At 36.3% G+C, this 25,817-nt stretch overlaps 1 protein-coding gene, 1 long non-coding RNA gene and 1 pseudogene across 7 annotated transcripts in view, besides 1 other annotated feature; 2 read left to right on the top strand and 1 right to left on the bottom strand.

The window, feature by feature from the left end:
* MECOM (MDS1 and EVI1 complex locus) overlaps positions 1–25,817 on the top strand; it is a 580,206-nt gene that overhangs the window by 164,339 nt on the left and 390,050 nt on the right. The window lies entirely within an intron of this gene.
* RPL22P1 (ribosomal protein L22 pseudogene 1) lies at positions 15,354–15,956 on the top strand (annotated as a pseudogene).
* Positions 16,319–16,819: an enhancer, noted in NCBI's record as "H3K4me1 hESC enhancer chr3:169200343-169200843 (GRCh37/hg19 assembly coordinates)". NCBI's record gives its function as "activates a minimal SCP1, AML or CMV promoter by ChIP-STARR-seq in primed H9 embryonic stem cells {active_cell/tissue: H9 hESC(primed)}" and the evidence as "EXISTENCE:reporter gene assay evidence [ECO:0000049][PMID:30033119]".
* Positions 22,322–25,817, bottom strand: part of MECOM-AS1 (MECOM antisense RNA 1) — a 29,186-nt gene continuing 25,690 nt past the window's right edge. The window contains exon 5 of the long non-coding RNA NR_134932.1: positions 22,322–22,488. This is a non-coding gene — a long non-coding RNA (MECOM antisense RNA 1). The remainder of the gene's footprint in view (positions 22,489–25,817) is intronic.

Here is a 25,817-nt window from a genome sequence, read left to right as displayed (position 1 = left end):
CTTTTTTTTTTTTTTTTTTTTTTTTTTGTGGGTAATCTGTCTTTTCTCTCTGCAAGCTTAAGATTTTTCTCTGTATCCTGGACCTTTTGAAGTCTTACTGCAACATCTCTAAGTTTGGACTTTTCTTTTTTGGTACTTCTTGTGACTGTTTCTAGTGCTCATGTCTTTTATTAATTCTGGAAAACTTAGCCATGATCTGTTCAAATATTGTATCTCTTCTGTCCTTTCCTTCTGGTATATATATGTATACATATAAACATATGGATATTTATATACTCATATGTATATAGTTTTATATCTCTTAACTCTGATTTATTTAAATATCTTTATCTCTTTACATTCTGTGAGATTTATTGTTTCTTCGTAAAATTAACTAATTTTCCCTTCAGCTGTGTGCAGTTTATTCTTTAGACCATGTGTTGAATTTTTTACTTCACGCTTTTCCATCTAAAAATTTCCAATTGGTTTTTTTCATAAGTATTGTTTTTTCTATAGCCCTACTTTTGTTTCACTGATGCTAATGCTCCTTTTCCTCTTAGAGAATTGTAAACATCATTATTTAAAGTCCATTTCAGATTGCTTAGTTATTTCTATTTCTTTGTATAGGTTTCCCTTCTATTGGGCTTATCAATTACCTTTACAGTGCTGATTTTCTTGTGTAAATTTATTTTTTAAGAGCCTATCTTGCATGGGAATTTTCTTGAATTCATTCTTCCCTGTATGGTAATTCAGCAGTTGCCTCAACTCCACCAGGTCTTGTGATAGTGTGGATAGAACAGCCTTCTGTTCAGAGGCTGGCAGTGAAGTTTTAACTCTGGCTTTATGCAGTGTACTTGGGTCATGTGTGGGGCAGGCTCAGGCCCTTTTCTGTATAAACACTGAAACCCAAAACCTACTGTTCATCTTTGGGCATAAACCGAGCATCCTTTAGTATTGTAGGTTTCCTTTTCTTTTATGGTCCATGAAAACTTTCTTGCTTTTGGACAGAGTTTCACTTTCATATATTTTAAAAATCATTATCCATTATTTCTCGCTTTTGAACAGGGGGCAATTTTGGCATGTACTTACACTGCCATTTTGGTCTGTTATTTTCGTGGGATTTAAAAATAAGTTTTATTTTCAATAAATATTTTTCACACAGGTAAACATGTTTTTACTAAATCTTCTTTATTAATTTAAGATATAATATTTCAAATTACACTTAACTGATATGGAAGAAATAATTGTGAACATTGGTACAAATTATGTATTTTGTCATCTTGTACTTCAAAGCTCCTTGGATTAAACATTAATGAAGAAGAATCAATAGAGAGAACAGAAATAAAGCGCATATTCAGTTGAAGTCTGAAGGAGTTTTTAAGACTCTAGAGAAGAGAAGGTGTAAAATACTAACTTTTGTTTTTTCAGCTGATTTATCAATGTGATTCACACATTTCTGAGGCCACAAACAGGATATATGGCATATGTTGGCCTAAGAAACAAAACAAAACAAAACTCTTCTTTTGTACTTTATTCGATAAATAGCTAAAGCCTACATATGGAATTTTTGTACTGATTCACTCAACAAACACATTGACTTTATATGAGTTGAACTTTATTTAGACATAATGAGAAGCCATTGGAATGTCTGAAATGTGAGGAGACATAATCAGAATTATGCTTTAGGATGTTTGTTTTGGCAAAGGTATGCAGGATGAATTACAAGAGAGAAAAACTGGCCGGGAGCTGTGTCTCATGCCTGTAATCCCAGCATTTTGGGATGCCGAGGCGGGTGGATCACCTGAGGTCAGGAGTTTGAGACCAGCCTGGCCAACATGGTAAAACTCCATCTCTACTAAAAATACCAGTAAAAGAAAAAAAATTAGCCGGGCCTGGTGGCAGGCACCTGTAATTCCAGCTACTTGGGAGGCTGAGGCGGGAGAATCACTTGAACCCAGGAGGCAGAGGTTGCAGTGAGCTGAGATCACACTACTGCACTCCAGCCTGGGCAACAGAGTAAGACTCCATCTCAAAAGAAAAAAAAAAGAAAAAGAAAAAGAGAAAAATTGAAGAATTAGAGAGCTAGTTAGTGGGCTATTGCAAAAGAAGCATTGGGAGTAAATGATAAGGACCTGAAGTAGGTTGTGGCAATAGGGATAGAAAGAACAATATAATAAGGTAAGAATAAGCAGGACTTGGTTGCTGATAGTAAGTGGGAAGCAAGGAGTCAAGAGAAGTCAAATATGAACTGTGGCATGGGGAGAATAATATTGCCATTAAAGAAATTACTAAATCAGACTGCTAGGATTAAGGAACTAAAGAGTCTGCTCATTTTAATGTGTTATGAATTTATAAACTCTTTTTCAGAAGGAATGGTAGCAATAAAGAGGGAAGAAATAGGGTAATAGTTTGAATGGATAGAAGGCTAAAATCTTTCTTAAAGTTTATGCATGCTTGGCTGTGTTTACTGAATATAATCTATTTTATGGGGGTCCCAAAGAAAATTTTTCTGTAGCCATCACAGCTACCTGTAAACATTTATTGTTCATTACCATATGTTTAGAAAATAGAATCAAGAAAGAGCCATTATTTTCTTTTTGATTTTCACATGATTTGGATTTTCCACTGAAGTTCAAGCAAAAGTCAACTTGGGATCTTGGGAATGAACTAAGACGTGGAAATGCTTAGGTCCAACCATGCTCTGAGGAAGGCTTTATGATGGAGATGGAATCAGATACTGAACGAAAGAATTTGAAGTCATTGCAGGGTTATCTCCAGCCAGAGGGGAAATGGCCAGTCAGGAAGAACAACTGGCACAAGGAGCCAGAGCAGTGGCTTGCCGATAACCCTTGGGAAGAGCAACCCTCTCTTTAAGGAAGTCACAGAATTAGCTTCCTGAAAAAACACATTAGTTTGACGATTCACTTGATCTCAAATGAGGTATGGATCATGGTGATTCTTAAAAAAAATGAGGCAGTTTTAGAAAACTTGAGGAAATCCCTCTTTTAGGTTACAAACACCACAAGGGTTTTAAAACAAAAGCTCTTAGCTAAGGGATAATAATTTCCATATGCACGTTTGGTTCTAACATGAGAATATGTTTCCAAAGACGGGTGTATTGTCTGTCTTCAAGGGAATCTTTAAGGCTTATAGAGGCAACTGGCTAGCCACTGAATTCCAGTGAACTCCTGATAGACTCTGCCCATCCCTAATATGTTTTCAATGGTGAGAAATTCTGCCACTGGCCACTGCAGAATTTTCTTTGCTTCCAATTTCCCCATAACAACAGGGCTTTTTCTTGTTTGAGGAGGCTCCCATATCCTAAATGCAGATCCAAGAGAAAAGCTTTGCATGTCCTCATTTGTTCTCCATATTTGTGACTTCTAGTTGGAGTCGACCCTTTTACTGGTAGGGTCGTTATGCTTACTATGTGTCAGGCACTGTTTTGAAGACTTTACAGGTATAGCTCATGAGATCCTCACATCAGTCTTATGACACAGCTCTATTATTATCTATTCTAAAAGAAGAGGAAAGGACAACCCCAACCTGCTGAAAGTTTTCAGCTAGTAAGCGGCCAGCCATCAATTAACATCACTGTGCCATGCTGCCTTCTGTAAGTACAATGTGACTAATGGCTTTGAAACTGAAGAGCTTTTGTGAGTGACTGGTTCATAGTTTTGATAGTGAGGCCAGTGTCCAAATTACCAGTATATTCAGGTTTGGGCCATTTAGCCTCATTTGGAAAAGCCATGGAAAGAATGAGTATTGGAATATGAAAATATGCTAGTCTCTCCATTTCTTAGAGGTGTTATGAATAGTACTTCTTTGTAATTAAAAGTTGTTTCAACTAAGAAACAAGCATTCTTTCGAAAAATATAGTCTCTTCTATTATGCAAAAGAACCAGGCCAGACACAGGTTCACACTAAAAAGACAGGTGTGTAAAATACAGACTCTAATTGTAGCTCAGAATATTATAATATGGTGTGTTTAGAAATAATTATCAAAGAATAAAAACTTAAATTAATATCATATTTGTGGTGAAACTTTCTGTACAATTGAACCATCTGCTGCTCCATCCCTGTCCTCCCCCACATACAATTATAGTCTGTTGTGATGAGATTCTACCTTTTTCACTACCCAGGCTTATCAAAGCTATAAACCGGTCACATAATTCACAGAAGGTTAAAGATACGTGGAGAACTTGGATAGGGTCCAGGGGAGAGCAATGAAAATGATTAACGGGTTGGAAAATAGCACTGATGAAAAAAGATGAATGGAATCAGGATTACCGGTATTGAGAAGGTTTAGAGGTGACTTAATAACTGTCCTCAACTGTATGAAGGACTATTAAGAGAAGCATGGTGACCAAATGTCTTCCAAGAAGGAGAAAAGGATCTAGCCTACAACAGGGAAGATTTAAGCTAGATGTGAATTTCAAACACGATTCTCCTCTCCATCCTCACTAGTGTCATTTATTGACTCTCTTCCATTCCTTGGATCATCATTATTGATTTTTAATGATAAGGATGAAGGTGAATGGCACCATGGCTGAAACAGTTTAATAGATAACTAAAAGATTTCTTCTCATGAAGGCAGTGACTCTCAGTTGGAAGTTTGGAGTAGAAAGATGAATCAGAATCACCACACTGGGAGCTTTTACAAAATACAGATGCTCCAGGGTCCCTCACTGTCCTCTACCTTCCCTTGAAGAATAAGTGCTTTAAAAGATTGTGCTCTCGATTAGTTAATACAGATAGGTGAAAGCAGGAAGATCTTAGTGGTGTATAATAAAACTTTGGTGATGAGTGTATTCAATGGGGTGTTTTGATTAGTTGGCCATTTTAGTTAGCTTATAGCTAATGTATTTCAATGCTTACACCTTGAGAATAGTTTGATCTTTTTAACTTTTCCTTGCTTTAATTGTATTCTCAACAGTTAGAACTTGTGGCATCTGACTTCTTGGGTAGCAGTTTTGCAAAGCATAGCAACATGAATCAAGAGTAAGGCAAAGAGCGGGCTTGGTATTTGGGCTGCCTTACGCCCTTGGGAGCCAGAGAGGAAGAACTGGGCAGTGTGAACTGTCAACTTGTTAGTTTTACCAATAAGTTTACTCTCTGAAAATATTCCCTCTCAAAAATTTATCAGTAAAAATCACAAGAGCAACATCACTTAAAATTAGGTGTTTCCTTTGGGTAATAAAAACTGAGATTGTCCCCTGTTTTAAAATATTAAGGTGGAGGAAATAAAACACAAGGCAAGCAGAGAAGACGGTGAAATGGTCAGTGTAATGTTTACATGTTATGAGAAGGCTGTATAATCATAACAATTATTTTCCCTCAAAAGCTCTACCTCTTTGATCTAGCTCAAATTTCACACCAACCATCAAAGATGATTGCTGCATAAATCTGTATTCTTTCCTACCGTTTAAGGTTATTGGTACTTTGATTAATTTAACCACGTTACTGTCAGGTTGAACACACTCATCTTCTGTTTCAAAGTGTGTACTCGTCAATCTCTCTATGGTTCCTTCCCTTCAGGCCTTATTTCATCACATTTAAGGAGACTCTCCTGCCCTTTATCTTGTTAGGCTTTCAACAGCTTAAGTTGAATCTTCATTCTTTCATTCTTGCTGTCAAGCTTTCTTCAATAGGCTCTCTCATTTCCCTATTCATAAAGTGTCAGGGCTGTTTCTGTTTCACACAGCATTATATGCAGAGTCAGACGTTGCTACAGATTAAATCATTTCCCATCTGAGGAACTTCAGTTACCCAGTATATAAATATACACCCAGTGTATGTGTGAAATATATATATATATGTATACATATGTGTATATATAAAAATACATATGTCTGTATGTCTTACATACATACATATATATGTATGTAAGACAGTGTTCAAAGCAGAGTGTGGTGTTCCTCGTTAGATTCTAAGGGAACTGCAAAGTGAAGGAGGCAGCAATGTGGTTTTGTTACTGGTGGGAGCTCGTGGTGCTATCTGAGAAGGGAGAAGAACCATACAGGTTTTGCAAGAGATTAAAGCTTCATTATTCCTTTTGAAGATGAGGAATATAAAATGACAGTGTTGCACAGGTATTTAGAATCAAGTTTTATGAGACATGCTACTTGATCAAATAAACCATATTTGCAAATAAACCATATTAACGGTGAGTTCTGTTCTTGAGCCCCAGTGCTTGGTACCCAGCAAATGTTCAAGTATCTTTTTGAACGAATAAATGGAGTTGTATGGTATGGCTGGAGGCTCAAGAAAAATGATAGAATACAGTGACTAAAAGACATATTAGCTAAAGTTTCAGCGCTTGAACAAGAAGATTGTTCATTGTTCTGACTATAGCTTTCTATTCTATTTAAATAAGAAAAGACAGGTAGGTACGATTATGTTTCTAAACATGAGTTATTATCATTACTATTTTTTAAAATGGAGTCTCTCTCTGTCTTCGAGGCTGGAGTGCCGTGGTGTGATCTCGGCTCATTGCAACCTCCGCCTCCTGAATTCAAGCAATTCTCCTGCCTCAGCCTCCTGAGTAGCTGGGACAACAGGTGCTCACCACCACGCCTGGCTAATTTTTGTATTTTTAGTAGAGGGGGTTTAGCCATGTTGGCCAGGCTGGTCTTGAACTCCTGACCTCAAGTGATCTGCCCGCCTCGGCCTCCCAAAGTGCTGGGATTAGAGGCGTGAGACACCATGCCGGGCCTAATATGAGTTAATTTTACTGGTTACTCCATTTATTACTATTTCTTTAATAACAGTATTATAGGTAGGGTTATATAATAATAGTATTAAACACGTGTATGGTAAATAACTGTATTTAACTTGATCTTTAATATTATTTTGTGACTGCGCTTAACACAAGTAGTTATTTTTTATTTCCTACTTAGGTTGAAAATATTATACATTGAAGGCAGGGATTGTTATATATGATTCAGGATAAAAATTCCAGAATAATCTTCAGTGGATGACAAGTCCTGAGGTTGGCCAAACCTATAATAATGGCTTTGGAATTGAGCAAAGGAATGAATGGAAAAGTGATCCATTTATTCAACAAGTTTTGCTCTCATACAATGGACTTGACTGCTGTTTCATTGAGTTGGTCAACTAGGTCGTATTTTGCTTTTCATTGAAAGCTAATTCTTTCTTACCCCACGAACTTTCTCTCCTACTTGCTATAATATCTAAATAGCCTCATATCTATTTTCAACACTGTGCATCTTCTCTTCCTTTAAAACTCTTCTTCAAAGTCAGTAGGGTCATGCCACTGACCCCATGAAACTGAATGTGTGTTTGTGCTGAGCAGAATTGAAGACAATACTAATGTACCAAACTTGGGAAGCTTAAAAAGCACTTATCTTTAAGAATTCTAGTCCCAGATAAAAGTGTTTTCTTTGATATTTAAATATGGTCTGTGCCTGTTTTATTGAGTTAAACAAACAAGGCAAAATATAGCAAAAATAGATGAAATTATATCACTTCTTGAACCAGGAAAAGAAACAACTTTTATAATTGGCAATAGATGAATGTGATGTGATTCATAGCATTTTGTACATTTAGTCTTGGAGATCCCATGTTTCTGATTGAAACACGAAACTAGAAGGATTGATGAAGAAAGTGAAAATTTATCATGTAGTTTCTAAAATCCACTTGAGGTTGGTACAAATGTCTTACAGAGCTAGTTTTGTTGGTACGTGGCTCTGGTTGGTAACAATGCTGACTGTGTTTCTGAAACAAGAGGTCCCAAACATTGGGATATGGTTTCCTCTTAGTCTATTAGGAAGTTTTCATTGTTCTGAGACAAAATGAGAAAAATGTAGTTATTCATGAAGATAAATTGAAGTCTTCATTTCAAAGATGTTTGATTATTGTGAGATTATTATTCTTATTTTTCTGTTTTATAGTGCCTTTTCTTTTGTGAAATAATGTTAGTGTCTGTATGTATATAAAATTTATTTATTTTAATTACTGATACTTAAAAGTCTTGGTCTGCAAATCACCAACCTAGAGCCTTTTCTAGTATCATCTGTAGTCCATACTCATGAGACCTGGAGGAAACTCCAGGCCTTTTGGTTAGGACATTTGCCCTGGGTGGATCTACTTTGGTCAGCAATCGTCTCTGGAGTGACTTTAGACCTGATTCCAGGATTTCTAAGTGGCAATATCTATTCTCCTTTTTCATGTTATATACTCAATAATTCATTTGATTTTTAATTATGAAATGTTTCAGACTGGGCATATTGACTCATACCTGAAATCCCAGCACTTTGGGAAGCTAAAGTGGAGGATTGCTTGAGCCCAGGGGTTTAAGACTGGTTTGGGCAACGTAAGGAGACCCGTCTCCACAAAAAATTAAAATGTTAACTGGGGATAGTGGTATGTGCCTATAGTCTTGGTTACTCTGGAGGTTAAGGAGAGAGGATTGCTTGAGCCCAAGAATTACAGACCATCCTGGGCAACATAAGGAGACCCTGTCACTACAAAAAAACATTTTTTTTATATTATGAAATGCTTCAAATACATGAAAAAGAACATAAAAATACCTATATACTCAAATATTAACATTTTGCATATCTACTAACAAACTCTCTTTTGCAAAAGAAAGAAAATATTACAGATAAAGGCCCACCCCTCCTTTCTGTTACTCTTCTCCTATATCCTAAAGTTGGTGTAAAGTATTTCGATGTTCATTTTTGAACTTTAACTGTATATGTTCCATCACAAGCTACAGATTCTCTTTTGGCATGTTTTAAAATGTACATAAGTGGTACTATACTGTACATATCATTCTTCAACTTGCTTTTTTTTACTCAACATCTTGTATTTGAGATTAATCCATGATGATAAAGATTCAACAGATTTATTCACTTTAACTGTCATATGATATTCTATTCTATGAATACACCACAGTTTATTAATTTGTTCCTCTACTTAGAAAAATAGTTGAGTTGTTTCTGCTTTTCTGTTATCACAAACAGGGCTGTATCTAGCATCTCGTTTGGGTTTGTTTGTGCACCTGTGTGAGAATTTTTCAAGATCGATACCTTGAATTGAAATTGCTGGGTTGTGGCTATGTGCATTTTTAACTTTGCCACCTAATAACAGCTCGTGTTGATTGTACACTTTACACTCCTAATAAGAGTGATTCAATTTCTATTTTTGCTAGATCTCTCTTCATCCTGTCCTCTCATACAATGATTAGTATTATCAGATTTATTAATTTTTGAAACTCTAAAGCGCATGCAAAGTCTCATTTGACTTTCTCTCTTTACTAATAAAGTTGATCATATTTTCATGTTTATTGGCCATTCAGGTTTCATTTCTGTGGATTTTGTATCATATTCTTTACAGGCTTTCTTTTTTCAGTTTTACATGACACTAATGCTTTGTTGCTTACATACATTGCAAGGTCATCTCTCAGTCTGTGGCTTGTCTTTCACTTTGTTAATGGCGAACTTTGCTTAACAGGAATTTCTATTTTTGAAGTAGTCAAATCTATGAATATCCCGTTTTATACTTTATATGTTTGTGCTTTTATGCATAGTGGCATCTTGTTTTAGAAATTGTTTTTGACTGATATTATAAAGCTATTTTCTCTTTTAAAAATTTCTATTTTGCTTTACATATTTAGGTATTTATTTGAAATTTAATTTTTGTTTGCATACGAGGTAAGGATCTAGTTTTATCCTTTTTTCTACGCCTAACCAAGTGTTCTGGCTCTATTTATTGAAGAATTATTCTTTTCCCCACTGATTTATTAATAATGCCTTCTCCATCATATACCAAGTTCCCACAAATGTGCAGGTTTGTTCCTTGGGTCCCTGTCCTGATCATTTGGTCCATTTCTTTATCCTGATGCCACAAACACTTTTTTAAAATTGTCACATCTTTTTAAGGATATCTTGATATCTGTAAGCCAAATCTCTTTCTCTTCCTCAAGATTGTTTCAGTCATTTATTCTTCCATATAAAATTTACAGTCAGCTTGTCAAGTTTCACACACATACAAAACCTGTTCTATTTTTATTTAGATTGATTTGACTTGTCACTTTCTCTATATGTTCTCTAGAACAATTTCTTTAGGATGGGATTACTGGTTACTTGAAAATCTGTTAAAACCCCTTCTTTAATACTAGGTTAATGTATTTTGGAGATCAGCTACATATTCAACTTTTTAAATGGTTACATTCAGATTTGCTCTTTATTTATGCGTCAATTTCAGTAAGTTTTATTTTTCTAGGAAGTTATTCTTTTGTCTGGGTTTTCAAATTTATTGACTTAAAAGTTGTTCATAGTAGTCTATCTAGCATTTAAAAATCTCTTGTGTATCTGTATTCCCCCTTTAAATTACTAATGTTTTCATTTATGCTTCCTTTTAAAAAATTAATTCAGATGCCAAAATTTCATCTGTTTTATTAGTTTAAAAGGTATTTTACTTTTCTTTTAAAAACTTTTGTTTTTTTTAATTCTGTTCATCCTTTTCTAAATTTTTGAATTGGACTCATTCATTGGTTTTTACTCCATTTCATTCCTAGTATAAACATTTAAGTCTATACATTTTCTCTAATATTGGTTTAGCTGCTTTTCACAAGTTTTGATATATAATGTTGTCAATATTATTTAGTTTAAATTATTTTATAATTTCTGTCATGATTTCTCTTTTGGCCCATATATTATTTAATATTCTTTAAAATTTCTAAACATGAGTTGTGTTATAGTTTTGTTATTCATTTTTATTGTACTGTGCTTTCTTTGTGGTTAAATATGGCAAATTTTTATAAATGCTTCACATAAACTGGAAAAATAGTGTTTTTATTACTTTTATTACTTTTTTATTTTCTGAGATAGAGTCTAGCTCTGTCGCCCAGGCTGCAGTGCAGTGGTGCAATCTCGGTTCACAGCAACCTTTGCTTCTCAGGTTCAAGTGATTCTCCTGCCTCAGCCTCCTGAGTAACTGGGATTACAGGTGTGTGCCACCACACCTGGCTAATTTTTTTTTTTTTTTTTTTTTTTTGTATTTTTAGTAGAGACAGGGTTTTACCATGTTGGCCAGGATGGTCTTGAACTCCTGGTCTCAAGTGATCCACCCATCTTGGCCTCCCAAAGTGCTACGATTATAGGTGTGAACTACCGTGCCTGGCCTGGAAAAATAGTTTTTGTATACAGACTTCTATATATGTTTGATCAAACTTGTTAATTATGCTGTTCAAATTTTATGTGTTTCTACTAACTTTGGGTCTTTATTAATTACAGAGAGAGGCGTGTTGAAATTTGCCATTATAATTGTGAATTTGTCCATTTATTTCTTGTAATGCTGTCAATTTTTGCTTCATGCTTTTGGAAGTTAAACTATAAATTCCAGTAAGCCTATTGGAATAAATAAATTCCAATTTATTTATGCCTATAAATTCCAAACACTGTATCTCCCTGGTAAAGTTTTCCTTTTGTCATTTTGTAATAATTAGGGAATAATGATTTTTTCATTGAAGTATACTTTGTTTCATATTAATGTAACCACTCTAGCTTTCTATTTTTTGGTATGTATTTTTTTCATCCACTTACTTCCAAACTGAGTCCCCCCACCCCGACCCTCCCGCCCCCTCCCTTTTTTGCATATATCTCTTCCAAATAACACATAGCTGGATTTTGTTTCTTAAATAAATTTGTCCTTCTTTCTCTTCTAGGCTATGTATATCTATTGTGATTAGAGATCTGTTTGGATTTATTTCTTTCTTCTTATTTTCTGTTTTGTATTTGCCCTGCTTTCTGTTTCTTTTTCTTCTACTTGTTTTTCTTTCTCCTTTCCTGCTTCCTGTAAGATTCACCAAATTTTATTTATTTTTTATTTTTCCCTCTCCTACATTCTATTTGTGTTTTCTTAAATAAGCACAAATAGATATTTAATGTGCATAATTAACAAGCCTCACATTAAGTAATATCTACCCTCTTTCTGAAATATGGAAACACTGTAGATCACATTAATTCAGATTGTCCCCCTCCCCTGCCCCCAGTTTACATGCTAATTGCTGCCAAGTGTTTTCGTTTCACCTTGTACTTACAACTTCCAAAGGAGTCATGTTATTAATGCAATTAATGATTATTTAGATTTATACACATTATTTACCAATTTATTTTCTCACCATTGTTTCTTGTATCCTACTCCTTCCTTCCGGGTTCAATATTATTCTTCTTGAAGTATATTCTTTAGATTAATTTTAGTAATGTTTTGTGAGTAGTAACTTCTCTTCACCTTTGTCTGTCTGAAAATATCTTTATTTTACTCTTTTTTTTCAATTAGTTTTTGGACTATACAATTAAAAATGTGAAATAAAAATTAAAACCAAAAGAAAGACATGAGATATCATTTCTCTAATGACAAATTAAAAAAAATCTAAATAGAACTTGATGATTTAAAAATTAATTAATTATTAAGGAAACATTTTGTGGTCTCTAGAAGATTATTCTACAGGTCAACCAGGTTATGTCTAAACCTGAAGTTCCTTTTGTCTGCTTGCTTTCTCTCCTAAAAGAGTATTTGCTTGAATGTTTTGTAATTTGGGGCTGTGTGCTCATTTTCACAAGGCTTTATCTGAGAAAATCTTGTAGAGCCTACATTTAGAATACGTTGCTTTGGAGTAGTTTCACATTTGTTTCTGGGGGTTTCAGACTGAGTTTATATTTGATGAGCATATTCCTCATTCTCTATTCCAATCCTAAATCCCAGGAGATAGCCTTTTTTCTTTTTTTAACTCAGATTGATTAATTATCCAGGTGTTCTTCCCCTTCTGGGTAATCAAAATATATTTTCAATAGATCTTTGTGCATCAAGTATCATTTTCTTCTTCATTCCCTCAGTACCGATACCAAAATTATCTTTCTCAAAGGAGATTCTGATCATATTAATTCTTCATGGTTTACCATGAAGATACAGAACAAGCTCCAAATACTTGGAAAGATCTGAGCCTTGCTGTTTGGTTTCTGGCCTCAAAATTCTTCTCTCATAAACACTTGATGCTTAAGTTGAAAATTTTTTAACATTCCTGGAATGTATAATGAGCACTCTTGTTTCAATGCCATTACATGTGCTGCTTCATTATTAGCTATCCTCCTTTACTTAGTAAACTTCTACTATTATTAAAGACTCAACTTAGGCATTGTGGAGAAGTGCTTTCATGCTTGGGTTGAATATAATTTTGTTTTGTTATTGTTTGTTGATTTGCTTTTAAAGAATAATTAAAAACACAAAAAGAGAGTTTATCATTTTATATTAGTGGGCTCTTCATATTTCCACACCTAAAACCACATCAAACTTGGTGATGTCTCTGGGATAGTGTATATATATATACATATATATATATACTATATATACATATATATATAGTATATATATACATATATATACTATATATATATGTATATATAGTATATATGTACATATATACATACATATATACTATATATACTATATATACATACATATATACTATATATACTATATATACATATATATACATATATACTATACATATGGTATATACACACACACACATATATATACATATATATATTTAGAGGAAGAATTGTACATTTCAAAGTTATCTCTATTGGTGGATTTATTAGCTAAATGCAAAATCGCATATTTCGTTGCCAAATTGCCTTTTTGAAGGTGAAAAGTAAAGGGAGTGTATCTGAGCACGCAGCCTTTTTAGTAAAATAAAAAGATCTGCATACTCATTTGCCTTTGCTACTAAGTAGCTGAGTGTCTTCTCTCTTGCTTTGATTTCCCTCTTTTTAAAGTGAAAATGTTGGATGAGATGATCTTCAAGTTTCCTCTCACCTCCAAACTTCTAGTAATTTGATAAAGTGTCTTAGCTTTCTAGAGATATTTTATTGTAACCCTCTCTTTTTAGTTGGTAAATTTAAGTTAATGAATGTCTCACAATTCTTAGAAAATAAATTATCTCTAAGGTAAATTTGCATTTAAACTATTTTGTTGACTACAAAGTGATTGGTTAATATAACACTAACGAGAATATTCTGGCTAAAATAAAATTTTGTTTTTAACCTTATTTTGATTTAAAAGAGCAAGAGCGGCTGGGTGCAGTGGTTCATCCCTGTAATCCTAGCACTTTGGGAGGCCGAGGCGGTTAGATCACCTGAGGTCAGGAGTTTGAGACTATCCTGGCCAACATAGCGAAACCCCGTCTCTACTCTAAATACAAAACTTAGCCAGACGTGGTGGTGCATGCCTGTAATCCCAGCTACTCAGGAGACTGAGGCAGGAGAATTTCTTGAACCCAGGGGGTGGAGGTTGCAGTGAGCCGATATCATACCACTTCACTCCAGCTTGGGTGAAAGAGTGAAACTCCATCTCAATAAATAAATAAATAAATAAATAAGCAAGAGTAAAGATCAGAAATGCAGTACTTCGGGAAAGGTGCACTTGAAGCCCCGTTAATAGGCAAAGCTCTCCCTAAGTAATATCAACTAGCTAATGTAATCAGTCTCGGTGCTTGCTTTACTACTGATATATCTGAGCTGGTATGCTATAGAGATCAATAACTCTTTTGATATGCTTGTCAATTTGTAGTGTTGATGAGCAATTTCTCTTAAGGAGTCTGCCTTCCAATGTTAGTGTGCCTTCATAGGAAATAAAAGTGCCATAATTTCATGTGAAACATCCATCTGTTGTTAATATTTAATTATTATTTCCATTATTAGCTGAGATGTCTCAATCCCTGAAAACTTTAATCAACTGCTCCTAAATTTACTGTGTAAAATAAATTTTCTTTAAAATTTCTTTGAGGTGTTTATATAAGTTAATAGCTAATTGCATTTTAAATCTTGAATGGAAAACTAGAATATTTATGATGTTTAAGTCATTAGAATTGGGCAGAGCATCTTTTTAAATGGAAAAGAATATTGGAAAGAAATAAATATCTTTTGCTGAAATTTATGGAAGTACACACTAATCAGCTGTGATATTTAAATTTTTTTCTCCCTAAGTTTGTTACCTTTTACCTTCCATATTTTTTATGTCTCTCAATTCTTCTAACCAATATTTTCTTTAGCCCTCTTCTTTATCTCCTCTTTCTTTCTTTTTTCTCTTTTGTTTCTTTTTAAAATTTCTCCTTCCTTTGTTCTTCATCCTTTCTTTCTGTTATAAACATTCACATATTTACAAAGCTCATCAATAAGTGCAAGCAGTAATGGGATTGGGCAAAGCAAAATGTTGAATTGTGAGATAAAAAGAATCACTTTTTGTTTACTAGAGAAATTGAAATATAACAGAATAACAATAGATTATTTTAAATGCCTGGTAGCTATAGGTTGTACTTTCCATTAGTTATATAAAACAATGGTTTTGGGGGCAAAAAAAAGAAGCAAGTTCTGAAGTTCACTCTTGATTGCACCCACCCTGTAGAATCATGGATGCTGCCAATTTTGAGCAGTTTTTGCAAGAAAGGATCAAAGTGAACGGAAAAGCTGGGAACCTTGGTGGAGGGGTGGTGACCATCGAAAGGAGCAAGAGCAAGATCACCGTGACATCCGAGGTGCCTTTCTCCAAAAGGTATTTGAAATATCTCACCAAAAAATATTTGAAGAAGAATAATCTACGTGACTGGTTGCGCGTAGTTGCTAACAGCAAAGAGAGTTACGAATTACGTTACTTCCAGATTAACCAGGACGAAGAAGAGGAGGAAGACGAGGATTAAATTTCATTTATCTGGAAAATTTTGTATGAGTTCTTGAATAAAACTTGGGAACCAAAATGGTGGTTTATCCTTGTATCTCTGCAGTGTGGATTGAACAGAAAATTGGAAATCATAGTCAAAGGGCTTCCCTTGGTTCGCCACTCATTTATTTGTAACTTGACTTCTTTTTTTTTCTGCTTAAAAATTTCAATTCTCGTGGTAATACCAGAGTAGAAGGAGAGGGTGACTTTACCGAACTGACAGCCATTGGGGAGGCAGATGCGGGTGTGGAGGTGTGGGCTGAAGGTAGTGACTGTTTGATTTTAAAAAGTGTGACTGTCAGTTGTATCTGTTGCTTTTCTCAATGATTCAGGGATACAAGTGGGCTTCTCTCATTCATTAAAAGAAAATGCGACATCTTTCTAAGATTCTCTGTGGGAAAATGACTGTCAATAAAATGCGGGTTTCTGGGCAAAAAAAAAAAAAAAATAAAAATAAAAATAAAACAATGGTTTTTCACTCCATGTATTTATTTAAACATAAATTGGTCTGCAGGACTGTGTTCTATATGTTAAGTTGTAGTTTTGGCTGCTAGTCGAGTATACCATGAATTAATAATCACCTGATACTGATTCGAGTTGAGGTGAATACCAAGATTTATTGACCCAAGTGGAAAATATGGACCAAAGTGAAACCTCTGTCAATATTTATTTACCTTTACAGGAACAATTAATCTTGATACTCCTTGAAACAAGAAGTCAATATATGTATTGTTATGTACTTTTGGAGACTTCCATTAGAAATATTGGCAAGTCCCTGCTTCGTGGCCATAGATTTAAAAGGCCTATCAATTTTAAATGTTTCGGTCATTGAGAGCTAAAACATGTAACATATCACAGTGTTATTCACCAGAAATAAAAAATCAAGAGTCTGCTCAGAGTAGGTTAATATGAGTTCCTTTCTTCAGTCCAGCTGATGGTTTTTAGTAAGATGAACTGCCAAGGAGACAATGAGCACTGACTTCTCGATGCATGACTTCATCTTGTTAGAAGGTGGGTTGCCGGGCGCGGTGGCTCACGCCCGTAATCCCAGCACTTTGGGAGGCCGAGGCGGGCGGATCACGAGGTCAGGAGATCGAGACCATTCTGGCTAACACGGTGACACCCCGTCTCTACTAAATATACAAAAAATTAGCCGGGCGTGGTGGCGGGCGCCTGTACAGGTCCCAGCTACTCGGGAGGCTGAGGCAGGAGAATGGCTTGAACCCGGAAGGTGGAGCTTACAGTGAGCCCGGATTGCACCGCTGCATTCCAGCCTGGGCCACAGAGCGAGACTCCGTCTCAAAAAAAAAAAAAAAAAAAAAGAACGTGGGTTAAGCTCCCCTGTAACAGAGCTCTGCAGTGCTCCTCCCCATGGTGAATGACACAGGCGAGTACACGCCCCAGTGTGTCTTAGTTTCATCATGAGAACTTTGTAAGCAGCCTGTAAGGGAAGTACAGACTGTGAGATTTAGACCCCTTTTTTTTAGTTGCTTTTTTTTTCTCTAATAAGATCGTGGTGGAGGTAAAAGAAACTGTTATTTCACAGTGACTGGAAATGTAATGAAGTACTTGATATCTATGCATGAAGTGTTAGAGTTGAATTTTTAAGGAGAGAGATAGCATATTCCCTCCAGTCTATAAATTCCTGATTCAGAACATGATCTCAAGAGTTGTACTTTACATTTCTCTTCCCACCACCAAACAATAACAAAAAGAAGAAACAAATGAAAACTATCAGTGCCCAGTGGGAATTCCAGTTGGGGCAGATCTTTGAGATATGGTATTAAAATGATGACTTGTAATTAAGAATGAAACCTTTTTGCTCCATATACATGTAGATGAAAAGCTAACACCTCACCATGGAGCAGTCATTGCAGTAATGTTCATTCTCTTTTTACTTAACAGAAACCAGAGGTTGTTGTGTCTAGGGAAATGTCCAACAAGCTAGTGAAGTGTGTTGAGGACACACACACACACACACACACAGATTTGTCACTGGAATAATATATATTTATTTGTGGAATAGACAAATTATATTCTAGACACTGTGAAAAGTTTTTAGTTTTTTTTTTATTTTTAAGTATTTATTTATTTATTTGAGATAGAGTCTTGCTCTGTCACCCAGGCTGGAGTGCAGTGGCACCATCTTGGCTTACTGCACCCCCTGCCTCCCAGGTTCAAGCGATTCTCCTGCCTCGGGCTCCCAAGTAGATGGGACTATAGACATGTACCAAAATGTCCAGCTAATTTTTGTATTTTTAGTAGAGACTGAATTTCACCATGTTGGCCAGGCTGGTCTTGAATTCCTGACCTCAATTGATCCACCCGCCTCGTCCTCCCAAAGTGCTGAGGCTTTTTTAAAATTGCCAATCCCAACATTGTCTCAGAATTGTTTTTAATACCCAGCATAACCTAACATGCCAAGATATACAGCTAAAAGTCATGAATTGGCTAATGTCCATGACCGATTAACACATTAGTAGATTTGTGTTCAGCTTAAAAACTTCTTAACTTGTTTTTTTAACCGATGTTTTCTGTCATCCTGGGGTGATGATTTGCTTTTTTGGGGGGGCAGGTGTTATTTATTTTTATAAAGTTTAATTCTTTTTCTGGTTAAAACAGAAATGTACACTCTCTTTTTGTTGACTTGTGAAGTACAGAAACGTGTTTTAAGATTTTGTGCCATGTATTGTTAATGAGGATAGCAAAAACAAAACTCAACAAAACAACAACAAATAACAAACAAGCCCCCCCGCCCCAAGAACTCAGAAACACCAGGAAAAATGGCATCTTTTAATGTGTTGATCCTTGACACTCTGCAGACAGTAGCAGCAAAAAACACACATCCACAAATATGCCCCTTAATCTTCAGAGAGGAGCCTCCTGAAAAGCACAGGCTTCTAGGATGTGGCTCAGAAACAGCTTATCTCCCTTCATCTCCTTTTTGAAGAACAAAAACCACCCACCTCATTGGTTACCAGGTCGCCCTATCATCAACCAACCAGCTTGGACAAACACAGCAGAGAACACTAAAGGATCCTATACTTTGACTAGTGGAAGGAAAAATGGCTGGTGATATAAAAGGCCAACTTATTTACGTAAAGAGGTATTATAAATGGTACGGGCAAAGTGACTAAAGAGATGAGAAAAAAAGTGGGAAAGAGAAGGAGAGGAATGGCAGCCACAGGGGAAGGGGTTGGGGGAGCAGTGGACTGAGAGCAGATGAGAAGGAGGAAGAGCAGTGTAGGGCCAGCGAGCCACCTGTATACACCTTGTAAATCCTTTTGTTCCTACTTCTGGGAAGTACTCCAGTAGTACTTGAAGAACTCAGATTGCAGTGTTGAAGGCAAGCTAGCAGGTAGAGCCCAATGCTTTGAGGTGGAGATTAGGATGGAAGGTATTCATGGGACAGTATATGTGATAAAGAAGCTCTTTCAATTAAATAAAAAGAAGACAGCACTAGCTTGCTTGAAAAAACACAATTATATTTGAATTCTTCACATGTCAATATGTTAGTCTTTGGCAACCTACAGAAAACCATCATCATACTTTTTTTATACCAATAGTGATGACTCCACTTTGACCAAAAGGCGAATCAATGTAGAAAAAAGTCCATTGTCTTCACTGTGGAAAGTACATCGAATCTGGAGTCAGATGGATTAGCATTCAGGCCTCTTGGTAGTTTTCTGATATTGGACAATTTACTTACTCTGTATTTGTTTCAGTTAAAAAATGGGGAATTTGTCTTAACATTTTTGTGAGTATTAAAATAAGAGATTTTAAAGGTGCCTGGCACAGTGCCTGGGACAGAGTATGTGCTCAATTATATTAGTCACGTTCCTGCCTTGTCAAGAGCTTTTCAGGTCCCTATAAGGAAAAGGCCATAAAATTTAGAAGACATTAGGCATGAGTTTTAGTGGTTATATCACCAAATGTGTCTGCTTTCTAAATTTGTGCCTGAGAATCAGGCAAATTTTTTTTTTTTTTTTTTTTTTTTTAGGTAAGAGAAAATCTGAAAATGAGACGTTTCATTCACCTCCATATCTTTACTGCTCAGACACATTGGCTGATATCTGCTTGGCTTTACTTCCAGTGCTTTCTCTAATTGCAGAGGCATGTGAAGGCCGTAATCTTTAGAAGAGCCTTCAAAGCCTTGCATGGTCTGGCCCTGCCTGTCTTTCCAGCCTCACCCTTGTGACCGTCTCCTCCACTGTCTATGCTCCAGCCACACTGGGCTTCATTCTTTCCTCCACCAACCCAAACTTTCTCCTTTCTTAGGGTCTTTGTTACCTCTGCTTGAGATACTGTTCCTAGACGCCTCCCTTTCCTTCTTGTTGCTGCTCATCTCTGTCTCTTGCACACACACACACACACACACACTCACATCCCTATCTATGTGAATTCCTACTTGCTTTATATCTCACCTTAAGTGTCACTTCCTGCCTGAGACCCTAGCGTATGTTAGATTTGCTGGTCAAAAGCTTTTCCAGCATTCCTCCTGCTACTTATCACATTTATGACTAATTAGTTATCTTGGTAGATGTTGGCTAATGTCTGTCTTTCTGGCTACAGTATTAGTAAAGACAGGGATTATGTTTGTCTGAATCACTACTGTGGCCCTCCCATTCAGTTCTATGCCTGGTACATAATAGGTGATCAACAAATATTTTGGTGAATAAATAATGCTAGATGCAGAAACAAATTAGTGACTACATCATTGTAGCATTACAAGATTGTGGAGTCCTACTGTGTTCCACATCAATAACTGCTGGCTCTGTATGGTTAATCTGTGCTCTCTGAATTGTAAAATGACCCAGTATGGTTAAAAATGGGCCTAAAATGACGTAAATGGTTTTTATCACAGAGGAACACCCCCAGATATTTGTTCACAAAGGAAGCTGGTTTAGCCTAGGAATTGGCATCCCTTCTCCTGTATAGTTTTTTTAAGCCATAATACTCAAGTCTATCAAATATCCTAGCACAATACACACAACCTTAGGGAAGTGGCAGGCACCAGTCGCTATTCCCGTGGGTGGTTAAGCCTTTGGTATCTGGGAACAACTGAAGGGTAGTAATTGGTGATACTTATTGTCTGAACATAACTCAATCTTGGCTTAGCTTGGGAAGTATTCGTACCCTCACTTGTGGGGGTGCTTGGCCAAAGGCAGAGGTGTCCCTATAGGTCACTCTGAGGCATTTTTATCTGCACAATAGCTATTAACAAGTAATGGGAAAAGTGGAGATAGGCTGGTTACTCTAGGTGGCTGTAAAACAAGTGTAGATAGGACACAAAGGAGCAGCAGAGTGAGTACACATGACAAAAACCATACCGCATATTGAATTCTGCCTTGACAATATCATTCTTCTACAGTTGTCAATATTAATACTTTTCTATAAGGAAATGGAATGACATTAATGATACATGCAACATCCTTTATGTAAAAATGCCCCAAATCCAAGAGCCTTCCAGAGCACCAGGAAAAGTTTCAGAGCCATTGGATGTCTCTCTTTGTCAGATGCCACGGTGTCAGGCTCCGAGCCATTTGTCATCCCTGAATTTCATTATCTGCTCCTTCCCTGTCTTTCATTCTCAGTTTGCTAGGACATTTGTTCACCGTTGACCTCCCTGACAAATAATACACCTTAATTATGTTGGCAAGAGGGGATATGTCATTCCTGGGCCACTTTAATTGTCTATCCGACAGGCATCCTGCTGTGGCATGTAGCTTCTGTGGTATTTTGACTGCAGTGGTAGGACTATCCTGTGCTTGCGCTTTGTCTAGAGATAGTCTCAACTTTTACAGGTTCTGAAGATAATATGTCTTATTGAAGCCGTGTATCACTTTTGTTTTGCAGTTGCTAAAACAAGCTCTCACATTAATTTGGTGGAAACAGTACAGATTGGCTATCTACAAGGTTTGCCTTGGAAAGCAAAAAAAAAGTCTGCATAAGGATTTAGAATGAAGTAAATACTGAAATAACTACAAAGGTTAAGAAGAAAGGTGTTTGGGCATATCAGGAAGCTCCACAAAGGAAAAACAGCTGACTGCAGCTCCAGGAGCAGGACGCAGAGCCTCTAGTTTAAGTCAGCTAATCCTTTGCAAGAAACAGAGAAGTGCTCTTGGCCAAAGATTAATCTTACAATTCCATTCTCACATAAAAATCCTGCAGCCTATAACAATCTTGACTTCGGGACTCAGAAAAAAATTCTCTTTTATACCTTGCAAGGATTTGGATCATTGATGGTCTTCATTTTGGCACTTGTTTGTGTTTACTCCAAGATTTTTGTGCAATTCTTTGCCCATGGGAGAATGACGGGGCGCAAAGATAAAAGCTGATGAGGGTCTCAGCAGCACTTCGAAGTTGTGGGAGCCAGTTACCATTTGGAGTTCTCCTTTGACAGGGGTAGATGCCTTAATTTGAAATGCCATTTAACTAGGAATCTACCTAGACCTTTGCAGTGTGAAGACTTCCTATTGCAAATGAAATTGTGTGTGTGTGTATATATATATATATATATATATATATATATATATATATATATACACACACACACACACACACACACATCTTACTTATCCAGACCTCTAGGCACATATTATGTCGCATGTAGGAGTTTATTAACATGAGTATTTCTAAAAAGAAAGCTATTTTATCCATAGCAGCAGGTAAAATTTTAGTTTGTTGGCACAGTCCGTTGTCTCATCTCTCTTTTCTTCTGCCTAACCTGTCTTTGCCGGTTTTCTCATCAGTGGAACATGTTGCCTGTGAGGTTAGGGGAGAAAAAGAAAAAAAAAAAGAACAGCATCAACAAAAAATAGCATCTTCTTCCACTCAACCTGCAAGGCTTCACAAGGGTAATCTCAAAGGTCACCTGGCTCCTGTTTTGGCCAAGAATATGTGGATTAGGGTCACAGGAGGGCGAGATTTTAATTTCACAAAAATATGTAAAGGGAAGGGGGAGAAGGGGGAGAAAAAAAAGATTACTTGCAGAGAGCATGAGTACCAAGGGAGGCATGCTTAGGTGACTAACGACACCTCTATCAGAAGAACAAACTCGATCTGCATCAAGCATTGAGACAGATGAGGCCAATTTCACACAGTAAATTTCTTGGCCATGATTGATGTGCCCCTGCCGCTGAATGTGAGCAAGCTCTCTCCGCACCTGTCAAGCACCGGGCAGACAGGGATCTATCAAAGCGTTATTGATGACTTTACACTGTACTCTGCAAATAAAATGTAATGGGCTAACTGGAACATAGATCTGAGTGATGTTACTTATATATTAAATATGTCACATCTGTAGAACAAATGGTGGTTAGATAAGAGTTATCATCTTCAGGGCTCAATAAATATTTTATCAAGCATAATGGAAATTGTCAAATCAATCTAATTGTGTAATACATTATGAAGACATCAAAATTAAACAAAGCACATATGCTATCATTTCATTTTATTAGTGGGCCACTGTTGTGCCCAGGAGGTCTTGTGGTGGTTGAAGGCTGGCAGAGTTAATACTATATATATGTTTCCCTTTCCTCTCCCTCTGCTGCTTATGGAACTGGCTAGATATTTCATCAAAGTATTAATTTCTCAAATGCAGACAACTTCAAGGCATAATTAGATTAGGGAGAACAAAGCTGCGAAAAGTGGCATCAAGCCACAAATTCACTTTAGCCATATTTAGAGCAAATATCTCTGTGCTTCCATTTCATTTTATTTATCTTTATCTGATTTTATACTGTTGCAATAAAAAAAAACCCAACATGAGCAAGAATTATCTTTGAGCCAGAGACATCCATGCTAGCTCCTAACTAGCAGCAACTGATGTTTCAAAATACCTTTGTCGTTTTTGTTATTGGTGGTTAAAAACCACTTGAGGTTTCCCTCCTCCTCCCCCTTTTTTTTTAATTGGCAAGCTAGGTACTTTACAAAGACTATGGAAAGGATTACAAAATCTGGCAAGACTGGCTTTGGCTTGGTGAATTTTAAATATGCATTTAAGGAATGATTGCGTCTTTCTTTTCTACCCGATTTAAGACAGCTATTAGATTCGGAAAAAAAAAAAACTTCGACTTTTTAGTCACTATTTTTAATGTGCTAAGGAAACATTACCATTTCATCCATGTGTCCATTAAAAGAAAGGGCAGCCCGTATTCCTGGCCTTAGAAATTCTCAGTTTGGCTTGTCACTGTGATCAAATTCAGTCCCAGGGTGCATAAGAGGAAGGTCATGAAACATCCTGTGCCCAGTTTTTCCAGAAGCAAAATGGGAATAACTTAAAAAAACACTTCAACCGTCTTGATAAAGTTGGGCCAGGGGACAAAGTTTGCTGCTTGTCAGGGTTAGAACTAAAATGGTTATATTAGGATAATCATGAAAGATACTTATTTCAATATTAAATGACTTTCAGAATGAAGTGCAACCATTGGCAACAAATAAGAGCACAAATTGTCTTTTTTCCCCTATAGAATTATATGCTATGTTATCATTAAAAGGAATTTCAAGTGATTTGTATGTGCATTTGTTACCAATAAATACATGGACTCTGTTCTGATTGTTTACGTGCTGTGTTAGTAATTCAGACTGTTGGCCTGAGGAGAATACAGTAGGAGTTGTTCAGGCTTTAAGAATCACAAAAACTGAAATTGGAACTCAGCTTGGCCCCTACTAGCAATGAGATCTAGGGTAATACATGTAACTTTATCGAACCTCAGTATTCTATTCTGTAATATGGGATAATAGTATCTACCTACAGATTTTATGAGGTAGGCAGACAGATATCAATATAGATTGATTAGATACCATCATAATGGGTGGTTAAGTACTAGACACTAAGCTAATATATATCAGTTATCTCTTCTCACCTGCAGAATCATTCTGGGGGCAAATATTAATCCACATTGATGACATAGGTTTCAGAGAGCATAAAAAACTCAGAGTTTTTGTATCTTCCAAATGATTTCTCTTCTTTGGTGGAGGATTAGCAGTTATTACACAAAACATGGGCTGCCAACCTCAAACCCTGCTTTTAACACCAAGGTTTCACATAATAGAGTTTTTAGCATTAGGGAAAAAGCAGTTACTTTATATCTAATCATAAATATATATGATTGTAACAATATAATTTATATAATATTGATAAAAATTAAGCTGTTGCAATAAAACTGTCCCATCAACCCAAGGTGGTATATTACCATTCTGTTGACATTCCATTTTCAAGGATATTTTATGTTGGGTTGTAAGTACAGACTGACATCTATATTAATAAACCGTATATTGAAAAAAGGAAAGAATGATAGGGGTGTTGGGTAAGTGGCTTTTTCTAGTATGGAGCATTAGGCTGGAAGGCTGGACTTCAGGAACTGACGTTTACAAAATACCAAAGATAGTAATGAAGTTTGTTGTTGTTTGCTCTCTCGGCTGACTTTAGACAGTTGTCTTCCTAGTGGGATTGCTTGGAAATTATTATTGATGCAGATCCTTCCACAAGGTCTATTTAAACCTCTCCCTTCAATGTGCCACTACAAAAGAAATTCATCTTGTGAATGAGAGGTGGCACGTGGTGACTGACTAAATTGTTTGACATGCTCATTAGCATTCTCAAACCTGGACCATTTCTACCTAAGCTACTGACCCAATCTGTCCTGTTGAGTCGTGCTCATAGGAAAAGGGAGGAAAGATGCGAGCGTATTCTTTCTCTCTGAGAACCTGTCTATAGATTCAATTATCTATCTATCTATCTATCTATAGATATAATGAATACTACATATATATAGTATTTATTCTTCCTTCTCTTTTGCTATATGTGTAATTGGCTTCCCTCTCTTGTACCCAAAACTAATAGTGTCTGGTATTTTGTTTTTGTTTTTGTGTTTTTTCTAAGAGGGAGTCTGGCTCTGTCACCAGGCTGGAGTGCAGTGGAGCAATCTCGGCTCACTACAACCTCTGCCCCCCAGATTCAAGTGATTCTCCTACCTCAGCCTCCTGAGTAGCTGGGACTACAGGTGTGTGCCACCACACCCGGCTAATTTTTGTATTTTTAGTAGAGACAGGGTTTCACTGTGTTGGCCAGGATTGTCTCGATCTCCTGA

The sequence above is a fragment of the Homo sapiens genome, chromosome 3 (assembly GCF_000001405.40).
Source record: "Homo sapiens chromosome 3, GRCh38.p14 Primary Assembly".
NCBI classification, from domain to species: Eukaryota; Metazoa; Chordata; class Mammalia; order Primates; family Hominidae; genus Homo; species Homo sapiens.
Note: the sequence above shows the minus strand (reverse complement) of the source record. Positions and strands in the feature narration are given on the sequence as shown.